At 39.3% G+C, this 23587-nt stretch overlaps 2 annotated features.

Annotated features, from left to right (window-relative positions):
• Window positions 1834-2533: an enhancer, noted in NCBI's record as "OCT4-NANOG hESC enhancer chr10:36484201-36484900 (GRCh37/hg19 assembly coordinates)". NCBI's record gives its function as "activates a minimal SCP1, AML or CMV promoter by ChIP-STARR-seq in naive H9 embryonic stem cells {active_cell/tissue: H9 hESC(naive)}" and the evidence as "EXISTENCE:reporter gene assay evidence [ECO:0000049][PMID:30033119]".
• Window positions 9527-10028: an enhancer, noted in NCBI's record as "NANOG hESC enhancer chr10:36476706-36477207 (GRCh37/hg19 assembly coordinates)". NCBI's record gives its function as "activates a minimal SCP1, AML or CMV promoter by ChIP-STARR-seq in naive H9 embryonic stem cells {active_cell/tissue: H9 hESC(naive)}" and the evidence as "EXISTENCE:reporter gene assay evidence [ECO:0000049][PMID:30033119]".

Here is a 23587-nt window from a genome sequence, read left to right as displayed (position 1 = left end):
ATTAGTATACTTTAAGTTCTGGGATACATGTGCAAAACATGCAGGTTTGTTGCATAGGTATACACATGCCATGGTGGTTTGCTGCACCCATCAACTCATCATCTACATTAGATGGATCCTAATGCATCCGTTCTCTAGCCCCCTGCTCCCTGACAGTCCCCAGTGTGTGATGTTCCCCTCCCCGTGCCCATGTGTTCTCATTGTTCAACTCCCACTTATGAGTGAGCACATCCGGTGGTTGGTTTTCTGTTCCTGTGTTAGTTTACTGAGAATGATGGTTTCCAGCTTCATCCATGTCCCTGCAAAGGACATGAACTCATCCTTTTTTATGCCTGCATAGTATTCCACAGTGTATATGTGCCACATTTTCTTTATCCAGTCTATCACTGATGGGCATTTGGGTTGGTTCCAAGTCTTTGCTACTGTGAACAGTGCTGCAATAAACATACATGTGCATGTGTCTTTATAGTAGAAAGATTTATAATCCTTTGGGTATATACCCAATAATGGCATTGCTAGGTCAAATGGTATTTCTGGTTCTAGATCCTTGAGGAATCGCCACACTGTCTTCCACAATGGTTGAACTAATTTACACTCTCACCAGCAGTGTAAAAGCATTCCTATTTCTCCACATCCTCTCCAGCATCTATTGTTTCCTGACTTTTTAATGATCACCATTCTAACTGGTGTGAGATGGTATCTCATTGTGGTTTTGATTTGCATTTCTCTAATGATGAGCAATGAGGAGCTTTGTTTTGTATGTTTGTTGGCCACATAAATGTCTTCTTTCGAGAAGTGTCTGTTCATATCCTTTGCCCACTTTTTGATGGGGTTGTTTGTTTTTTTCTTGTAAATTTGTTCTTTGTAGTGTGGCAGGACAAGCCACAGACAAAAACCCTCAGACACCGAGTTAAAGAAGGAAGGGCTTTATTTGGCTGGGAGCTTCAGCAAGACTCTCATCTCCAACAACTGAGCTGCCCAAGTGAGCAATTCCTGTCCTTTTAAGGGCTTACAACTCTAAGGGGGTCTGTGTGAGAGGGTCATGATTGATTGAGCAAGCAGGGGGTACACAACTGGGGGCTGCATGCACTGGTAATCAGAACGGAACAGAACAGGACAGGGATTTTCATAATGCTTTTCCATACAATGTCTGGAATCTATAGGTAACATAACCTGTTAGGTCAGAGGTCAATATTTAACCAGGCCCAGGGTGTGGTGCCGGGCTGTCTCCCTGTGGATTTCATTTCCACCTTTTAGTTTTTACTTCTTTCTTTGGAGGCAGAAATTGGGCATAAGACAATATGAGGGGTGGTCTCCTCCCTTAGCAGATTCTGGATATTAGCCCTTTGTTAGATGGATAGATTGCAAAAATTTTCTCCTATTCTGTAGGTTGCCTGTTCATTCTGATGATCTTTTCTTTTGCTGTGCATAAGCTCGTTAGTTTAATTAGATCCCATTTGTCAATTTTGGCTTTTGTTGCCATTGCTTTTGGTGTTTTAGTCATGAAGTCTTTGCCCATGCCTATGTCCTGAATGGCATTGCCTAGGTTTTCTTCCAGAGTTTTTATGGTTTTAGGTCTTACATTTAAGTCTTTAATCCATCTTGAGTTAATTTTTGTTTGTATAAGGTGTAAGGAAGGGGTTCAGTTTCAGTTTTCCACATACGGCTAGCCAGTTTTCCCAATGGCATTTGTTAAATAGGGAATCCTTTCCCCATTGCTTGTTTTTGTCAGGTTTGTCAAAGATCAGACAGATGGTTATAGATGTGTGGTGTTATTTCTGAGGCCTCTGCTCTATTCCATTGGTCTATATATCTGCTTTGGTACTAGTACTATGCCGTTTTGGTTACTACAGCCTTGTAATATAGTTTGAAGTCAGGTAGCATGATGCCTCTAGCTTTGTTCTTTTTGCTTAGGATTGTCTTGGCTATACGAGCTCTTTTTTGGTTCCCTGTGATCTGCCCGCCTCAGCCTCCCAGAGTGCTGGGATTATAGGCATGAGCCACCACACCCAGCTCTCTACAATTATTTCAAGACTTGGGGCTCTCTGGAGGTCCTAATATAGCTCTAGGTTGTCTAGGCAATTTTGTGGGGAAGCAACACACACACACTGCGATATTGTGTAATATATATCCTTCTTCAGTACCACTTTCCTGCATGCATACAACTCCTACAATCCTTAGAACCTCTTAAGTGATGTCTTTTTGTATGCTAATAATTAACTGATGGCTAGCAGCCTCTAGGTAGCTTCAGGATGGGGGCTGGTCACCAGGAAGGACAAAGGCTGATTAGAGGATTGGGACATACAGCCCCCCTCCCCAAACCAAAGGAGGGGAGAAGGGCTGAAAGTTGAGCTGATCACCAACGGCCAATGATTTAATCAGCCATGCCTGCTTAATAAGGCTTCCATAAAACCCCAAAAGGTCCGGTTTGGGACAGCTTCCAGATAGCTGAACACGTGGAGGTTCCTAGAGGGCAGCACACCCAGGAAGGTATGGGAGCTCTGTGCCCTTCCCCCATACCTTGCCCTATGCATCTCTTCATCTGTATCATTTGTAATCTCCTTCATCATAAACTGGTAAACATTAAGTAAGTGTTTCCCTGAGTTCTCTGAGCCACTGTAGCAAATTAATCAAACTTAAAGAGGGAGTCATGGGGGCACTAACTTGAAGCCTGCCAGAAGATCCAGAAGCCCCAACTTTTGACGATGGGGTGAGGGAGGGGCAGTCTTGTGGATCCCAGCTCTCAAGCTGTGGGATCTGACGCTATCTCCAGGCAGGTAGCTTCAGAATTGAATTAGAGGATGTCCAGCTGGTGTCTGCTGCAGAAATGATTGCTTGCTTGGTATATGGGAACCACCCATTCAATATTTGGTCACAGAAATCTGTGTTTGTTGTTGTGGTGTGAGAGCTGAGGAAAAATAGTTTGAGTTGTTCCACATACACACACACACAGAGACATGAACACACACAGGCATGCACACACCCCTCACACAATCCCTGAACTCCAGCACAGATAATATAGCAGGTTGATTTTTGCCTACTAAGCCTCTTGTGTCCCTCTGAGGCACAGGTTACATTTATCACTTCTTTGCTCTGAAGGGCTTCGATTATTCAGCCACTCTTTTTTTTTTTTTTCCTATTGTTGTAGCCATCTGTCTCCTTAACTTGGTTATTTCTTCCCATACCCCCTGCTCCTCCTCCCCGGCCCTGCCAAATTCTCTAGAATAGGATGAAGATTCCAGAATTGGCTCTTATCCTGCTGTTTTCAAAGCAGGCCCCTTTGTAGTCCCTCCCATCCCCCGCTACCCAAGACCAGATCCAGGCAATATTCTCTACATCACCTGCAGCTGGGACGGATTTTGATGTGATCACTTACACACTCTTAGTCCCCAAGCCCAGTTTAGGTTCTGGAAGATCACATCCTCCAGCAGCAGGATTGGAAACAATCATTTCCATGAAGTCAGTATTCCAATTTAATTCCCAGAGCGGAATCCTTCAATGTTCAGCACATTCCTCCTTCCTCACATTTTGTCAGGAGAACAACAATAACAACCAAAACAAATTTGAGAAAAAAGATCATTTCAAACGGTGATAGTTGTTTGAAGGAGAGATGGGGAAAAAAAGAATGCATGGGTGACTCTACACAGCATATGAGTGTTTCTGGGAAGACCTGGGATATGACATTTAGCATTCGAATGCAGGTCTGAAAATTTAGGAGCCAATCAAAAGAAAAGGAACAGGGAAAAGGCAATGAGAAAGGAGGATTAGATCCCCTTTAGCGAATATACCAGGGTAGGATCTGAACCAGGATTACCGTTAATATAAGGTATCGAGGAAACTAAATGTATTTGATTGGTGCAAAAGTAATTGCGGTTTTGCCATTGAAAGTAATGGTAAAAACCGCAATTACTTTCGCACTAATCTAATAAAAAGTCACTCACTCTTGGGGGCTGACCCTGCACTTGCAGGAGCCTAAGAGTGAGCACCTCCTTACACTTTGCACCTGGGCACCTTACTCTTAAGGAGCACTGAGCCCCAGGACTATGTGAGTGTAGAGCCAGCCCCTGAAAGTAAGCACCTTGGTGCTTTACATTTCGTGCCCTCGGGACCTCATTCTAGTTCCAGCCATGGGCAAGAACAAGCAGGTGGCTTTGAGGAACAGAAATAAAGCCAATGTTTCTGGAGAAAAATACATTGCTAAAGACTAGGCAGGGGCAAGTTGAGTATGGGTTAATATACCAGATAAAAAGTTGCTTTTTACTTTATATGTGATGTGAATTTACTGGAGGGTTTTCAGCAGGGAAATGTCATGATCTAGTTAATATTCTAAAAAGTTTACAGTAACAACCCAACTAAAAACAGACATGTCACCCAAGAAGGTATGCAGATGGTAAATAAGCCCATGAAAACATGCAACAAATCCTATGTCATTAGAGAAATACAGATTAAAACAATGACACACATATTAGAGCAGCCGAAATCTGGAACACTGACAACACCAAATGCTGGTAGAGGATGTGGAGCAAGAGCAACTCTCATTCATTGCTGATGGGAATGCAAAATGGTACTTTGGAAGACAGTCTGGCAGTTTCTTGCAACACTAAACACACTCTTATCATATAATTTAGTAATTGCATTTTTTGATATTTATACAAACGACTTGAAAACTTATGTTTGCACAAAACCCGGCAAATAGAAGTTCATAGCAGCCTTATTCATAATTGCCAAACCTTGGAAGCAACCAAGATGTTCTTCAGTGGACGAATGGATAAATAGACTGTGGTACATCCAGACAATGGAATATTATTCAACAATAAGAAGAAATGATCTATCAAGCCACAAAAAGACATGGTGCAACCTGAAATGCATATTGCTAAGAAAGTAGGCAATTCGAAAAGGCTGCATATGGTACAATTTCAGTATATGACATTTTGTAAAAGGCAAAATTATAGAGACAGTAAAAAGATCAGTAGTTCTCAGGGGTTAAGGGGTAGACAGGCAAAAATAGGCAGAGCACAGAGAATTTTTTAGGTCAACAAAAATACTGGGTAGGATACTAGTGGGGGACACATGTCATTATATTCTTATACAAACCCATATAATGTACAAAACCAAGAATGAACCCTAATGTAAACTATGGACTTTGGATGAAGATGGTGTGTCAAAGTAGGTTCATCAGTGGTAACAAATGTACCACTCTGGTGGGGAATGTTGAGAATAGAGGAGGCTCTGCATGTGCAGGGGGAGGGGGTGGGTGGGAAATCTCTGTACCTTCCTCTTAATTTTGCTTTGAACCTAAAACTGCCTTAAAAATAAAGTCTTTTTTTAAAAAAAAAAAGGTTAACACTAACTATTCTGATAATTTAAATGGGAAAGTGTAGAAACCAAGAGACCAGTGGGAGGCTACCACTGGAGTCCAGGCAGGAGCCTGGAGGTGGACAGTGTAACAGCAGAAAATGGAGAAAAGTGTACAGGTTAGAAAAAATGTTGGTATCATATGAGAGTGACCACGTGGCTGAAATTGGTGTTGTTCTAGGGAAAGTTGCAGGTGGGGAGTGTGGGGGAGGACTGTGAAATTGTGGATTGTATTTCTATCACATGATTTGAGACTCAACCATGGTTCTACGGGGACTATAGATAGAATATACAGGAAGGCAGACTAAAACAAGTGCAAATATCTATGAGTTCCCTGTAGACATCTCCTTGTGCCATGAGAAAAATTTAGCTTGGATAGAAAAAAAAAAGCCTGTGTCGGCTGTATTGTAGTGTTGTATGCTTCAATTTCACTGGACACTGAAAATTTGCACTACAAAGAGATTATACTGACCTTAATGTCCAAAAAGCATTACTAATTGTTCTACAAAGAGTTTGTATCAAGCATAGTCTTCTATTGGTATCCTTAAAGAAAGGATTCTGTAGAAAATGCATTGTCCTCAAGCCTCAGTTGGGCCATTTTTACTTAGGGCAAGTCTGGCCTTCTCTCTGCTGCTCCTTTCTGGTGGTTTCTCTATTCTCTTGCCCTCTTCTTCCATTTCTCCCCTACTCAGCATAGAACCTGCTTGTATGTCTTTCCACACAGTAGACTGACTGGATTTGAATCTTTTTATTTTCACTTACATGCAGTGGAACCTTAAGTAACTTACTTAACTGGCCAGGTTTTAGTTTTCTCACTTGTAAAATGAAGATAATACTAATATTTACATCTGTCTTTAGGCATAAAGAGTCAATGTGGTAATATATGAGAAGCTCTAACAAAATGACCTGGCACATATTATGTGTGGAATAAATTGTTTTTAGTTCACAGTAAAAGTGAAGTCATTAGATAATAACTTGCTTTATTTCTGCCTAGAAGCTGTCTGACTCATGCTTACTTTTGCTTTCTTTACCCCTGGAAGGTATTGCTCTTCTGATACAGGTTAATCCTTCTACTTGTATCTGAATCCCAACCTTCCATCCTCCTTTGGGACTCTGGTCCCTCAGATATTCTTTCTTTTTCTGCACCGTTAGCCTCTCTCAATTAATGTTGCTCCCAGACACAAAAAATATAACTTTCAGTTGCAACCTTCCATTTCTCACCCTCTCTAGCTCTGTCTTCCACTGCAATAATTCTCTCTTCAGCTGTGTCTAATCTGTTATCTTATGTTAACTACAATTTTTAATTTAAAGTATTATAATTTTTAAATATTATATTTGGTTATTTTTCAAATAAATCTAACTATATAATATATTGTTGCTTTTTCATACTCCTCTCTCTGATGTCTTTAATCATGTTAAGCATGTTTATTTTATAGCTTCAAATCATTTTATTATTTGAAGTTCTTGGACATATAAGCCTGCTATTTACTATTTGCTGACTTTTGCTCATGCTATATTATTTATTTATATTTTTAATACCTTCCCATTGTAAGCTCATCTTTAGTAGAATTTTATCTGTGAGATTCTTGGCTGGCCTAACTTGAGGAAGTGAGGTTTACTTTTGGCTTTAGGGTTATCATTGACTTGGGATCATGTTTGTATTATTCTCTGCTTTGGAATTCCAAGACAGTGACAAGCATATAAATTGGAACTCAAAGCTATAGGAGGTCAAGGTAATAGCTACAAATTATCAGGAAAGGATTTTTCCCCATGTGCTACACAGAATAAGATGGGCTTTTGTTCCTTTTCACCTTGTATCCATAAGAAGATTTTTCACACTTTTATATATGCTTTAATCATCTGGTGGTCCTGACTTTGTGTGAGAGTGTTAATTCCCATCAACTCTTTTCAACATGTGTGGGCCCATGCCCTTCTCTTCCACCTTATATGTCTCTTAGGCCTCAATGACTAGCAAATCTAGCTGGAGTGGTTGCTTTTGTTTTGTTTTTTTATTCCCTTCCCACCCCCATTTCATGCCCCATGAGAATTTATTTATTTTGCAGGGAGCTCAGATAAGGGTTTAAATGGATTTTTAAATATATATATATATATAATATAAGTAATATATATATAAGTAAATATAATTTACTTATATATACATATTTATTACTTATATTATATATATATATATATATCTATATATATCTATATATCTATATCTATATCTATATCTATATCTATATATCATCCAGAGTTCCTAAGTATTTTAGCTGGAGGTTTTTTGGATGATCTGGTCCCTTGGTACTCAGAGTGTTGTCCTCAGGTTAGCAATACCCCTTGGGTGCTTATTAGAAATGCAGGATCTCAGGCCCCACCCCAGACCTGCTGAATCACAATGTGTACGTTAACAAGACCCTTAGATAAAGTTCAATAAGACATCGCCAAACAGACACAATATGTTTTTAAGATTAATCATTACTGTATCCTACACAAAAAGCAGCAATGTCCACCCATCCCAGGTAGTAAAAAGTTTGGATCTGTAACATGTTCTGTCTGTAAACTCTACTCATGCTGCCAAAGCTGTGTTCTCCTGCTCTCCCCTTGCCTCAGCCTCTAAGATACAGCACAAAGGCTGCTATCTCTGGAGGGTCCTTCCTGCTGCTGCCTGAGGCCTCCTCCATGCTCTCCCACAGCATCCTACACAACTTTTCCATGTCCTATCACACATTGTGATGATCCCCTCCCTCCCTAGTCAGCGCAGACTCTGTAAGATATGGACTGCCTTTCCTCTAGCACAGAGCCTGGAACATTGCAGGCATTTGAGCAATATTTGCTAAATGATTTAATTAACGACTAAAGAAATAACCTATAGGGAATATTAAACACTAAGTATATATAATAGCCTCAAGTTAGCTAACCCTCTGTGGTTGGTAATATAATAATTGCTATGTCAATCCACTTCTGTACCACAACTATATCCAGGAAGGATAACTCTGAATATAACATATCCTTAGAAAATATTTATTTAAAAACTATTTTTAAAAATTTTTTGTAGAAGCAGAGTCTTGCTATGTTGCCCAGGCTAGTCTCAAACTCCTGGCCTTAAGTGATCCTCCCACCTCAACTTCTCAAAGTGCTGGGATTATAGGTATAAGCCACCATGCCCAGCCTAAAACACTACTTTTAGTATTTTTTATTTGGTATACATTTGAAAAGGTGTGAAATGAGGATGTGTGTGTCAGTGGGATGCAATAATGCTGCTTCCATGTTACTCTACTTTAATGCAGGTGTATGGGGGGGACTTGGAATCTGCAGTAAGAAAGAGAGGAAAGATGGAAGTTCCTCCCTCACAAATATCCCACCTCTTCTGCATGCATCTCCAAGAAGACCTTCTGTTTCACAAGTCACCCTTCCAGCAATGGGACGAGTAATGGCAAATAATCATTTTTTTCTTTTCTTATATATTTTTTCAACTACAGCGTATTCTAAATCCTTCTAGAGAACCTTTCTAGTATTGCTCTCTAATTTGTATTATTGCTTTGTGTCAGGATATTGATTTTCATTTTCATTTTGACTGAAAGTGAAGTTAGACATTGTTAGCTGTGAGCAGTCAATTATAGTTTAATGACTATTTTGCAATGAGATAATATTCCTGTTTCCCTCCTCTGGGAAAACCAATTCTGTAAGATGTACAGAACTCAGTCCTCACCATGGTTTTGCATCCTCTCATTTTCCTCACCCTGTCACCGTATTTGGCTCTGTTGCTCAGCACCCTAACTCTGTGTGCCAAGGTAAATAAATCATACGTCAGGATACACAACTGCTCTAGTTAATAACCATGCAGCCACCTAATTAGAGAAACACTGTTTACCAGACATGGCAACTCAGTTTTTCTTTTCTTTCTTTAATTTTCTTAAGGTCTTTGGCAGTTCAGTCTGGAAAAGTAAACGCTATTTACCCAAAAGACAGTAATTTTAAACTCCCCTTTCGGATGGTCTCCAGTGAGAAATGAAGCTGAGGAGGTGGAGAGGACAGGAGGGGCTGTTCCTCCAGCTGTTGGAAGCAATCTTGGCTTGGAGAAGAATGTCTGATCCAACCATAGCACACTGGAAACGTTGGAGCCGTCAGTATCCGGGGAGCAATTCCAGAGAAGGCCTAACTTCCAACAGCCCAGGCTTTTCATGAACTATTCTGGTCGTTGTTTCTCTGTTTAGGGAGTTCCCTTTGGCAGGAGCTGCGATTTACACAACAGAAGGTGACACCACTGGCAGCGGAGCATGCCTCTTCGAATCCCCTACCCGGGCAGTGCTCAGCTCCTTCTTCTGCTTCATGCTCCAAAGCTAGGAACCCACTGAAAACCCCTGCTATGCAAGCCCTTTTATTTAGATTCAGGCGGCTTTATTTTCACTTCCTTCCCTTCGAAATGCAGGATACTCTTTCTCAAAGGCAGATTAGATGTTCAACACTCTGACTACATTCAACTAAAACCCCAGGTGATCCCCATTAAAAACCAGTCAGGCTTTGGGGGAGATGCCAGAGGGGGTGTTGTTGTGACTTGTTCTTTCTGGAAGCCTAAGCCAGTGTCTGGTCTCTTCTATGTCTGGTGTGGCCCAGCTGGTGAGGGGGCCTCTGCCAAGCACTGAGAAGTTAGCATATTACATCCTTATTACATTCAACTATCTCTCTCTCTCTCTCTTTTTTTTTTTTTTCGGTCATGCAACTTGAGTGTGTTTGGGACTAAGGCCTTGAGTTTCTGCATTCTGTGTCTTCTATCAGCTGCTTTCACTCTCACATTTGTGACACCCAATATTGCAACTGGGGCCTCCAGGGTGAGACTGTGCATCCCTAGGAAGCACTGTTGTGATGGAGCCAAAAGGCCTGTGTCTTCCGGGGACATGAACTTCCCAGCCGAGTGTTACCACAGCCAGTAACAGACGTAAAACTCATCTCTTCCCTCTAGGGTCCAGCAAAAAAGCAAAAATCCCAGAAGCTGAGCTGCCTTTTCACCCAGCCCAGCTAGAATAGACTGCTGTGCTCAAATAGACAGAGGACTCCATGGAAAATGTGTTTCCCAGTCCTTTCTCTCCTAATATCCCTAACAGGAGAGAGATCACGCGTCCACATGCATAGAGGCAGAGAAAGAAAAGGAAAGAAAAAAGGTGATATTTTATTTTGCAAGTTCTACTGCAGCCAAATTGTTCCCCTTTTAAGAAGTTGGGGAAAGTCAGGAAAGTGAGAGTAGAGAAAGAGCATTTATTGAGTGCCAATTATTTATTCATCAATTATTAGGTGTTTGCCCTGTACTAGGTAGCGTGCTTCATGTATGTTTCAGGGATTTAATGGTGATTATATATCTAATCTTTAAAATAACTATATATTTTTGTCTTGGGGCAAGGCTGATTATAACCTCTACTTTTACAGATGAGAAAACTGAGGCCTCTTTCAGGTTGCACAACTTGCATGTGGCAGAGCAAAACTCTGAAGCCAGGTGCATTTTGACTCCAGAGCCTGTGCAGTTGCTACCCACTCTGATCCTCTTACAGGGTCATGTGAAATGATGTGGAATAATTAAGTTTATTATATCATGGCATTGAAATACCAATTAAACACTAAAATCATGATGATAATATAATTCCAAAGAAAAACTTGGTGTTAGGGTTATGGGCAGTTTATGTGTTCAACAATTACATACTTTTTGATATTGATATACAAGTAAAATAAAGGAAAAATATTGTATTAATAACGTTTGCTGTGGATCTGCTTCTGGGAGGGAAAGAACTGCTTTAAGTAGCCTTGGTACTAAGACAATAAACCACGGAGAGCCAAGAACACATAGCCTCATGCATAGTAACAAAATCATCTCATCCAAAAGGATGATCAAATCAATACTAACTATAGGAATATTTCTAAATTTGGGTGCATGTAATTATGCAATCTTAATAAATGATTTTACAATCTTTAACAGAGGAAGACATAAAATATGCATTTAAATGACCAAATATTTCATGAGAATGCACTTCATATCAGAAACTATGTTTGGTCCTGGAAATACAGAGATTAAAAATACTCTCCTTACTTCTAAAGAAAGTACAACTTATGAAAGGCTTAACAACAAATTTGCTTTAGGTGGTCTTTAGTAATTGGGTCCTGGTTTGTCACAAGCACTGTGACCCTTGGCAGATCAAGATAGCATGGTGGAAATGCTGTCAGAGCCAGGGAAATTAGGGCTTGAACACTGACCTCAATCCTTACTAGCATTCAATAAATGCAACCATTCTAATGGCTGAAAGTAGATCTGTTTATGTGTCAGATCTTCATTTCCTCATCTATAAACCAAGAGGTCTGGTTGATAGAAGAAGACTCTTGTAGCTCTGGTATCTTTGACTCTATATTTTGAAAAATCTGATTCCACCATAACAGATATGGGAGGTTGTGTCATGGTCAATCACTAATATCAGGAAGAGAAAAGTAAGTCAAGACTAATTTTTCTACCGCAGCTACTATTTCTCTCAAATATAGAATTCATTTTCCCTTCTCCGCCCATTGTACCTCCACTGGGCTATTAACCAGACTTCAACTTGACAGGTTTAAAATTCCATCTTATTTGTTGCCCACCCCAAGCTCAAGTAGCTAATGAGCAGAAAAATGACCAGAAGATGGGAAAGAGGATAAAACACAGAGTACTTCGATATTAACAAAGAAAGTGACAGCTGAGAGCTGACTGCAACTTGTTGACCTTCTCAGGGAGCTTCTTGAATAAATACATGTGGTTTAATTTTTTAACAAGGTTCACTTCTCAAGACCCTCCCCCACCAGGATAGCAAAAAAAAAAAAAAAAAAAAAAAAAAAAAAAAAGTAGAACACTATGATTGTATGAAAGTAGTGATAGGAATTCAAAATCTGAAGAAAGAAAGATGAAAGACAAAGCATTAAAAAAAATCTGGGCACTTTGTCCACAAAGACAACAGATATTAAAGATTGAAAATCTTGAAGTCATGAAACTCCCTAGCATGAGCTCAAGCTGTTGCCCTCTGTGACAGCCCCAGTTCTAGGACCCCCAGGGTGGCACCAGCAGCACTTCTCAGTGTGTGGTCCTGAGTGCAGCCTCCCTGCAGCTGGTGCAGCTCTCAGCAGCTGCCTCTCGCCCACGGCGCTCCTCCACGGTGACATCCACGGGTGGCAGTTCCCAGCTCCCCAGCACCTGTCCTTCCACAAACTGACACTTGGTCACCCGCTGTCTGAAGCTGGGATGCTGCCCTGTGCAATTGTCTCCACATCTGCACCAACTCTGCAGAAGTGGCTCTTTCAATCAACTTAAGATTTTAGAACACTAGCCCTGAAAGGAAGCTGAGATCTACTTGTTTCTCATATCCCACTCCCACCACTGCTGCTCCCCACCTCCCACACACACACACTAGGAAGCCAAGGGTCAAGGTCCGGGGACTTAAAACACCTGAACTCAGAGCTGACTACTGAACACATACACCAGCCCCCCAGTGGTCCTTCTGCCATGTGTCTCCTGAGGATGAGGATGGTGATTCAGGATCACATGGTACTGCGCAGACTCACTCCTCATGCCCCTTTCACTGTTATTTTGCTGGAAAAAGAGCACCCTCATACTTGCCATAGGAAGCCTTCCAAGGAAATGTGGTGACAATTTGGTCACTTCACAATGGCCCTGTCTAAACTTGGGCACTAAAGGACAATGACAAAGAAGCAGTGGAAGGATCGGGGTTTTGGCAACAGCAGGTGACATCCTTGCTACTTACCAGTCTCATAACTGTATACAGGTCATGTCAACATCCTCATGTTCCAGGGTTACGCTTGTTAGTGTGTGAAAACAATTGGTCCACAGTGAGTGTGTTGGGACTAGGGGATAAAGCAAAAGCCCCACTTTTCTTCTTGTAGATAATCCCCTCCTGAGAAGAAACAAGGAGCGGACGTGAGAACAAGTTCAAGGTACAATCCTGAGGGTTCTACATCCCCAAGCTAACTAACCTTCTAAAGGGACCCTGAACTTTAAAAAAAGAAATTTTTTTTTTAAATCCCAGCATTTTGTCAAATGGACTCTAGCGATCATTTGGATTTATATTATTCTTTATCGTTTATAAAAAGCTTTTTCTTTAATGAATGACAGTCATAGAATTACTAAGCAGTGGATCTGAGTTTGAACAAAAATCTTCTAACTCATTCTAGTGTCTTTCATCAGTTCATCATTATCTAAAAAGTACTTTCTGAAAGAAGGAAGGGTGTCCATGGACTGTAATGGTTTTGAGAAAACCAAACCAAACGGAACATTAAAGGTAGAAGACATCTTATACTATTAGGAAGCCAATGCCACATTTTATACACAGGACAGTGAAAAGGCCTGGAGCTTTCTAGAATTCATGAAGCAATCTGATGTCACATCCTTGGCTGGAATTTGGATATCCAGCTGCCCACACTTCATCTACCCAGGACACACGCACACTCTCCTGCGAGCACACACATCCCTGATTTAATCAGACAAGCCATTTTCTCCACGCGGGAGAGCGTTGTTGGCCAACTTATCCTGAAGATCTCATTCCCCTTCTTTCTTTAGCAATAATGAACAAGTGCATTGGCATGTGATGTAATTCAGACCAAGGAAAAGGGAGAGATGTAGTGAGAGGCTTCTGCGTGAAGTTCCCTTTCAAAGACACAAGAAAGAGGCAGCACATTCTTTTGCCTCTGGATGTTGTTGTGTGTGGACATGATGCCTTGAACTGCTGCAGCCAGTTTGCAACCCTGAAGAACCAGCCTTAGAATGAACCCAATTTGGAGGAAATTAATTAATTGCCCCTGCCGTATTTAAATGTAACATTTTGTCTAAGCAAAATAACATATTCTTATAATTTCAAACCACTTCCAGTTGTAGTATCAGGCATTGTGCTTAAATAAGGAATAATGAATGAAATTTCTGTATGGGTGATGGATATGTGGATTAATATAAGCATACAACTATAATCATCTATTATTTAATCCTTATGATAATCCAGGGTAGAAATTATTATTATGTGTGAATTACAGATAAGGAAATTTAAGCTTAGAGAAGGTAAATGATTTGCCCAAGGTCACACAACCTTGTGAATGGCACAGCAGATTCCAACCCTCCTACCTGATTCAAAGCCCAAGCATTCATTTGCTTCCTAATGCCATTTAGAGATATGGGGAATCTCTGGACAGTAACAAATTGTTTCCATTCCAAAGTCTGACAGTACTCATAGTAATTTAAGAACAGAAGTAATGGTGAAGACCCAGAGAAGGGCTTTGTGAACTCTCTAAACAAAAGCAAAGCTAATGTATCTATTTACTGAGCAGTTACTCAACAGTCCAATGAGAGAGAGGTGGGATGATAGAGCAGTCTACCCTCTAATTCAGAGCACTTTTGAGAGTGAAAAACATGCCACTAATGATTAAGCCAGGACAACAGGCATCCACTCAGCCTGTTTGGGGTTAAACGAGATGTATGGTCAACCTAGAGATAGCCAAGGAGCACACCCCAAGTTTCCTTCTGTTAGAAACACCATCCTAAAGAAAAATGCTTATGAAATGCTGGAAAATGTCCCATCGTTTTCCTGTGTAACTCTTATCTATTTCTATACCCTCTCATAATACATTTAATGATTAACAATCTGTTCTGAAATTAAGAGAAACAAATCGAGCTAGGAGTTGGAGAGTAACTTGGGGATTAGAAGCAAATAGCTCCAGATAGGCCTCAAGCTAGACGAGCAGTAATAAGGGTACTTATCATTTTACCAACTGACAGGCAAAGAAGAACAATGTGGGAGAGAGGAAACTGTGCCATGAAAAATTGAAATAAAGGAGAAAACAAAATAGAGAGGAAATACAAAAGAGCTGGTCCTGAAAGAGCGCTGGTATCCAGGAGCGTATTTTACTTGCCCTATTTCACCATAACCCTGGGATACTTTTAATTACTTGGCTCTTTTACAAACAGCGTCTGACTATTTTGTCAGAGGGTCAAGGATAACAGCAGGACCTGCCCTTTCCTTGTGCTTAAAGGGACACCACCCCCATATACTTTCAGGGACACCCAACCTAGAATGGCTCGTCAAGAAGCACACGCATTTTTCCTGAGCGATCTTTCCCCAAAAAAAGCCTCTCCCAGAGGCTGTGCTTGCTAAGCTGGCGAGAAGAAGTCGGCAGCATCAGACACTGTCTAATAACCCAGAATGAGATTTTGTCTGAGGTGCAGCAAATGCTTAGCTGATCTCCTATTTGGTACTCGCACTGAGACATGTCCAGATAATGGAATTAGAGGACACAAAAAGAACAACCAATGAATACAATGTTGACAATAAAAAGAAATACATTTTGGAGAAAAAGAAGGCTTGAGTTTTTCTTTTGCCTTCTTTCCTCTCAGTTTAGGAAACGTGCCCTTTTTTCTGAAGCAACATTAATAATGGTTTGCTCATTAACCTATTGGGGTGAAACAGTCACTTAATAAATTCCAGTAAGATTTAATCTGAGAATTTATTATACACTACAGTTAATTAAACGGATGCTTGTGTGAAAAATCTGGCCTCTTACTACATAAAAAAAAAAAAAAAATCATGTCCAGAGTGGGGCTAGAAATGATGAACATTTTCATATTTTAATTTGTTAAGTTTCATAATTCGCTTGTCTCCTTAACTGTAAATCTCTAAAATTGCTCAACCCCAATTAAGAAAAATAAAAAGCAAATCAAGAGTCAGTATTCATAGAGGAATGCTGTTGGCTAAGGCCCCAGATATTTTTTTGTATCTCTGGTGAATTGCTTGTAAAATTTCCAGGAAGTTTGGGAAAACTTTGCATTGACATCACTCAGAAAAACTTGGAAAAGATTTACCAGGGTAAAGACTAGAGGTCAAACTGACTGTCTGGGGTACTGATCCTGTGATATTTGTAGACTCACTTAATGCTGATGAATTTTGCAGAAATTTTCCTTTTCCCCTTCCTCCTTGCAGTTGCAGCCACTTTACTGTAGAATATTTTAATAATTTAACCACATTTGATTTTATCTTAGCTCTGGGCTTTCTCCCTTCTCAGGGTTTCTTTGTTTATCTTTATTAAAATAAATATTTGTGAAAATAAATACTTTTGAGGTATGATACGAAAAAGCAAGAAAACTAAATTTTAGTTTTAAAAAACTAAAATTTTTAGTTAAAAAACATATTTTCAGCCAACACAGTTAATAGATTGATACATTAAAATACTATAAATTGTTTTTTATATTTAAAGTTACCATGATTTAGGGGGTTGCCTCTTTGACTTTAGTTTAAAAACAGTCACTTCAAAAAGCCCTTTTCACTGGCTGGGAATTTCCAATTCCTATATCTCCATTTTAATGCGTACAGATAAATGTTATATTTCACAGGAAATCTTTTAGAAATTTATAGTAATCTTATAAATTAATCCAAAATGATAAAGTATTAAAATAGTAGATTAAACTCAGAAAAATATATTTTCTTAGAGAAAAAATTGTCTCCTTTAAAATACTGCTTTTAAATGTGAATCCCACAGACACATGCTGTATTTGTAGGAATATATGTTTAAGAAGAAACATGTGGGGCTGGGCACGGTGGTGCATGCCTGTGGTCCTAGCTACTTGGGAGGCTGAGGCAGGAGGATCACTTGAACCTGGGAAGTCGAGGCTGCAGTGAGCTGAGATTGCACTACTGCACTCCAGCCTGGGCGACAAAGTGAGACCCTGTTTCAAAAAAGGAAAGAAAGGGAGAGAGAGAAAGGGAGAGAGAGAGAAAGAGAGAGATAAAGAAAGAAAGATAGTGTTCACTACATTGTACGCTTAGCTGAACACTTTTTTGTCACATCTTTGTTGAGATAGAAGTCACATGTCATACTATTCTATCATGTGAAATGTGCAGTTCAATGCCTTTTACTGTATGTGCACATATGCACAGACACATTCAGCTATCACCGAAGGCAAATTTTCATGACCTCAGAAAGAAACCAAATAATATCTGAATTTAGATACTTTGTATTCCTTTTTATTAAATGGTTTAAATGAGATTCTGATAAACGTCTTTTCATCTTGCTATACAATAACTCCTAAAAAATTGCTTTTAAATTATTAACACTAGAAGTTACTCTGTATCTTGTGAACACTTTCTTTACAACAGATAATGTATTGGCCATGTAAGATATCTTCTCATTCTAAAATCAATGATCAAAGAACTAAGAGTTCAGTAAGAATATGCATGAGTATTCGTTCAATATAATTATTATTTTTTAGGAAGAATGAATCAGGGAAGATTTATTATAGATATTCTGGTAGAAAACTTTCACAACTGATAAGGACTCCAGGCATGTTCTCCATCATTTCATGGTAGTTACTATTTGTGAACACTCACTGTAGAGCATTTATGTATAAAGTGCTTAGCAATGGGTCTGACAGACAATGTGAAGAGCTCTTTAGGTATTCATGTTTAATTAACTCTCATGTTTATTTATCCCACAGTTTATAGATTAGATGTCAATATCTCTTCCAGTTTTCAAGTGGAAGAACTGAGGTTTGAGAACATTCTCGAAATTTCTCCAGATCACACAACTAGGGAGTTTCAAACCACTAGCCTACTTTTAAAGTTAGTTTCAAGACTCCAGAGCTTAAACTTTTGTTCTCCAAGATTTTACCATAAAGAAACTTTAGAGGGAATCTTAGCCATCTGGATTCTCCAATTATATGGTATTTGGTTTATCACATATCTACCCATTATCCATCCCTCTATCCATTCATTAGCCCATATCATTTTTAAAATTTATTCCAAAGTAACAGACATCAGTACACTTCCCCAGTGTATTCTGCATAGCCTCAGAGTTTATTATTTGTTTACAGTTATTTTGTTTTCTTCTTAGGTAAAATTGACAATCACTGAAATGTATAAATCTTAAGTGTACTAACAAACACATCTCCCTATTTAGATCTAGGACATTACAATCTCTCCATGACTGGACTCTTAAACTTCATGACTCTATAATGCTAGGTGGTGGTTTGTTACTCTAGTTGATAGATAGGACAATTAGTCTGCTGTCACAAACACAAACTTTGGAACTAGCTTCATACCAACCTAAAATGTCAGGGTAGGCATTATTTCATTCATGAGAAGGGAAAATCTCAGGTTAGAAGAGTTCACCTGAATGTAGCACAATTTAGAGAACGATGAAAAAGCATTGTTAATATTGTTAGGGAGAGGCAGTAGAGCAGACCCCAGGTTCTGATGTCAGGCAGCTCAAACAGTTAAGTCCTGGCTCACATACTTTACAGTCTTTCAGCCTATGCTCCCGTGTCTTCATCTATAAAGTGGAAGTAATAATAGTATGATGGAAGATGATTTGTGAAAATGAACACAATAGTCTTCCTGGATCTATGTCTTGCTGTAATGTGACTTCACAACTCCTCCATCACAAGGTGCAGTCTGCTTTCCCTTTCCTGAATCTGGGCTGTCCTGTGACTTGTGACTTGCTGTAGGCAACAGAAATGCAACAGAAGTTGTGGCCAATTCTGAACCCAGACATCAAGGATCTCGTGTGCTTCCACTCCTGCTTTTAGAAAGCTTAAGATGGGATGTTACCAAGGAGACACCACAGGGAACCAAAAAAGCTAATATAGCTGAGGCCACTCTAGACCAGCCAGCACCCCAGCTGGACAGCAGCTGACCACGGACTCATGAGGGAGTCCGGATGAAGCCTCCTCCTCACAGTGAACTTGAGCTTGAATTGCCAACCCACAGAGAATCAGGCACTAAATAATTGGTGGTTGTTTTAAGCCACCAAGTTTTGGGATATACAGCAATAAAAAACTGTCGCAAGTCTCTATTTCACAGAGGTATTGTGAGGATTTTTAAAAGGTAATACATGTGAAATCCTTTGAGCTGTGCATGCCCATATAGGAAGGAAATGACCAGTAAACATTAACTACCGCAGTCATCATCACTGTCCTCCACATCAGTGTTCTTAAGGCAAAACTGCTCTAGCTTCTTAATGGTGACACTGAGATCCACTTCCTCCTGCCTACAGTATATTTTCCTTCTTTCCTTAGAAATGTCTAATCATTTAGCTTACATGTCATATCCTTGGAATAGTCTCCTTTGGGTTACTTACCAAAGTAGCTTTGTCTTCTTGTAAGCGCTTTGTACATTTCAGTCTTCCCATACTGTACTGTCTATATCAATATTGGTGTCTCTCCCCACCCCACACTGTATGAATCCAAGGTGTATCTCATTCATGTTTGCACATAGCACAGTACTCAACTAACATTTATTGAATAAACAGTCAAAAATAAAAGGCACATGACATTTTATTCCAGGAGCTCAAGGACCATGTTTATTTTGGTGTCCTCATTTTATTCATATTGTGTATCAGCTTCATCAGCTAATTTCTACTTATTTTCAGGCCATATACCTTCTTCAAAATAATGACATGTAAATTTCACAACTATTCCTGGAACCCTGCATTATAAAAATATCACAGCCTCTCTAAAAAACTCTTCATCAGAGCCCATCCATACTTTAAATTGCTTTAAGTTACTTTTCAATGAGATTTATGCCATGAAACATAACATTCATAATTGAAGGCCTTTAATTATGGGAGGAGCATATTCATGTGTTGTTAAATGAAGCTGTCCACTCAGATCCAGGTAAATATTAATTTATTTACAGTTAGATCCAGATTCCCCTCTCTGTAGAAAGAGACAACTTGGTTATTTGGGAAGCATGTAGTGAAAAAATAATTAGTAAATAAAAAATATGGCCCGGGTCACTAAGGCCCCAGGAGAAAATATTATAATTACAAATCACACACAACTCAAGGGATTTTCTGACTTGTCCATTCATCCATGATTATTGGTCTTTGCTTCCTTCTTCTTTCCCTACTCTGCTTGGTCACATGTAACCAGGTGGCTCTGCAAATCACAGAAAGCACAGGTAGAGCAGGAATTATATGAGGAGGAGGGAGGGTGAAGGGCAGGCTCTGTTGTCGATTTTAATTAACAACTTTTGAAGGTAAATTTTGCAACGCTCTTATATGGAATGTGTGCTCAGTAGCTGTGTTTCATCAGGCTACTCAAAAGAGATGTTTGATGAAACATGGGTATGGTGGAAAGCAGAAATGTGGAGGCAAGCTGTGTACTTCCAGCTCTTAGGCTGGCTTTTCCCATGGGCCCGGAGAACCATGACTTTTCTTTGGCTTCATTTCATTGCCCTCCCTTGTCTGGCTCCTTTTACTCATCTTTTGGGAGCCATCTGGGAAGTATATCCCCCAAGAAAACTATTACTCAAATATTCTAGATTGAACAAGTCTCTCCAGTTCATATTTGTCCCTACTCAAGGATCAATAGGACTGTAATTGTTTGTCTCTGCCAGTAAAGTAAGGGATGTTGTTTTGGCTTTGGTATTAATTTTTCATTTTTGGTTTTGTACCCTGCATCCAACACCTCAAACAGAAAAATTATTCAGTAAAGGGTGGGGGAATGAACACGTAAGGAATATGTCACTATGATGAGCTTTGTGAGGGATCCAGAGTGCTGCCACGTGCCCCCTCAGGACAGTCACTGTCACCTTGGGGAGATATGACACCCACATACCTAGAATCAACTCGTTTCATACATGCAAGTCTTCTCTAGCTTGATGTCTACCTACAGTGTTGTTGAGGATCTAATTGTTTTGACAATTGTGATGGGGAGATAATAGTAGCAGAATATAAAGTTTTAGGAGACAGATTTAACTGGTTCTAAAATTATAGTCAAAATCTGCAGTCTATGTTTAAGTGTGCAAATTAATTATTTATCTGGACCTACTTTATTTTTAATGTAGGTTATTGACTGTTAAGTGAGTCAATACAGTCAATATGGTTACAGCAGGTAGCCTAGTCTCATAGTCAATATGCAGCTCCAATCCCCAACTCACAACAATAAAAAGTGAATCGATAAGCATGAGCTGCCAAAGCAAGAAAAAACAAATGTCTCCAAAAAATGTCCTGTGTATCCTTTCTTACATTTTAGAAAGTCTTCTTGATACCTTTTAAATTATCCAATCCAGTGGCATTCATCCATCTCCAGAACTTTGTCATCATCTCAAACTGAAATTTTTTACCCATTAAACAACAGCTCCTCATTTTCTCCTCTCCCTCAGCTGCTGGCAGCCACCACTCTGCTTTGTTTCTATGAATTTGCCTCTTCTAGGTACATTATATAACTGAAATCACACAATATTTTTCCTTTTGTGTCTGGCTTATGTCACTTAGTATAATGTCTCCAAGTTTCATCCATGTGGCAACATATGTCAGCATTTCATTCCTTGTTAAGGCTGAATAACATTCTATTGTATGTTTGTGTATTTTTGTCATCTGTGGATAGACATTTGGGTTGTTTCCACCTTTTGGCTGTTGTGAATAATGCTGCTGTAAACACTGGTGTTTAAGTATCTGTTTGAATCCCTGCTTTCCACTATTTGGGACATATGGCTAATAGTGGAATTGCTGGACCCTCTAGTATTTCTATGTTTAACATTGTGAAGAAGTGCCATATTGTTTTTTACAGTGGCTGAAATATTTTACATTCCCACCATCAATATACAGGAGTTTTAATTTCCCCGCATCCCCACCAACACTTTTTATTTCCAATTTTTTTTAACATAGCCATCCTTATAGATGTCAAGACATGTATCATTGTGATTTTGATTTGCATTTCACTTGTGGCCAGTGATATTGAATACATTTTCATGTACATATCGGCCATTTTTATATCTTCTTTTTTATTTTTGTTTTTTAATTTTTTATTCTTTTTAGAGATGGGAGGTTTCCCTATGTTGTCCAAGATGGTCTCAAAATCCTTCCCTCAGGTGATCCTTCCACCTCAGTTTCCTGAGTAGCTGCGATTACAGGTGCAAGCCACTGCACCTGACCATTTTTTTATCTTCTTTGGAGAAACATGTATTCAGATAGTTTGCCCATTTTTTCAATTGAGTTATTTGTTTTATTGTTGCTGTTGAGTTGTAGAAGTTCTTTATATATGCTGGATATTAATATCTTACTATATATATATGATTTGAAAATATTATCTTCCATTCTGTGGATTGTCTTTTCATCCTCTTGATAGTGATCTTTGATACACAAAATTTTAAATTTTGGTTAAGTTCAGTTGGTTTTGCTGTGTCCCTACCCAAATCTTAACTTGAATTGTATCTCCCAGAATTCCCATGTGCTGTGGGAGGGACTCAAGGGGAGGTAATTGAATCATGGGGGACGGTCTTTCCCATGCTATTCTCATGATAGTGAATAAGTCTCATGAGATCTGATGGGTTTATCAAAGGTTTCTGCTTTTGCTTCCTCCACATTTTTCCCTTGCCACCGTCATGTAAGAAGTGCCCTTTTGCCTCCTGCCATGACTCTGAGGTCTCCCCAGCCATGTGGAACTGTTAAGTCCAATTAAACCTCTTTTTCTTCCAAGTCTTGGGTATGTCTTTATCAGCAGTGTGAAAAAAGACTAATACATCAGTATATCTATTTTGTTTTTGTTGTTACATGTACTTTTGTTGCCATAACAAAGAAATGATTGCCAAATCCAATGTCATAAAGTTTTTCTTCTATGTCTTCTTCTAAGAGTTTTACAGTTTTAGGTTTAGATTTGTTACCTATTTTGAGCTAATTTTTGTATATAATGTACGGTAACAGTGCAACCTTATTCTTTGCACTTTGATATCCAGTTTTCTCAGTACCATTTGCTGAAATGACTATCCTTGCCTCATTGAAAGGTCTTGGCACCCTCATTGAAAAACATTTGCAATTACAGCAGGGTTTATTTCTGGGCTTTCTGTTCTACCTGTATCTTTTTTGACGATTTTTCATGCACTCAGAAACTGTATATGCTGGTACTATACACTATGCAAGAAAAAAAAATCAGAGAGGAAAATTAGAACCTTTAAAAGATGGTGTCTGTTACTGCTTGCTGAATAGTATACCCACAACAAGATGAGGAGCTACTTTAAGAACTAGAAGCAAAAAAGAAGTGACTCTCACTTAAAATGAATGATTCTTTAAGAATGTATTGAGCATTGCCAAGTATCCAACCCTTGGTGTTGAACTGATTGCTCTTCCTACATTACTTTTTGATTTTCTCTCATGGACAGTTGTCCATAAAAAAAGTTACAAAAATTTTCTCTTTTATACAATTTCCTTTCTATATTGGTTGGCATCATAAGAA

This window comes from Homo sapiens, chromosome 10 (assembly GCF_000001405.40).
Source record: "Homo sapiens chromosome 10, GRCh38.p14 Primary Assembly".
In the NCBI taxonomy this organism is placed as follows: Eukaryota; Metazoa; Chordata; class Mammalia; order Primates; family Hominidae; genus Homo; species Homo sapiens.
The sequence above is the reverse complement of the archived record's forward strand: the minus strand, read 5'-3'. Positions and strand labels throughout refer to the sequence as shown.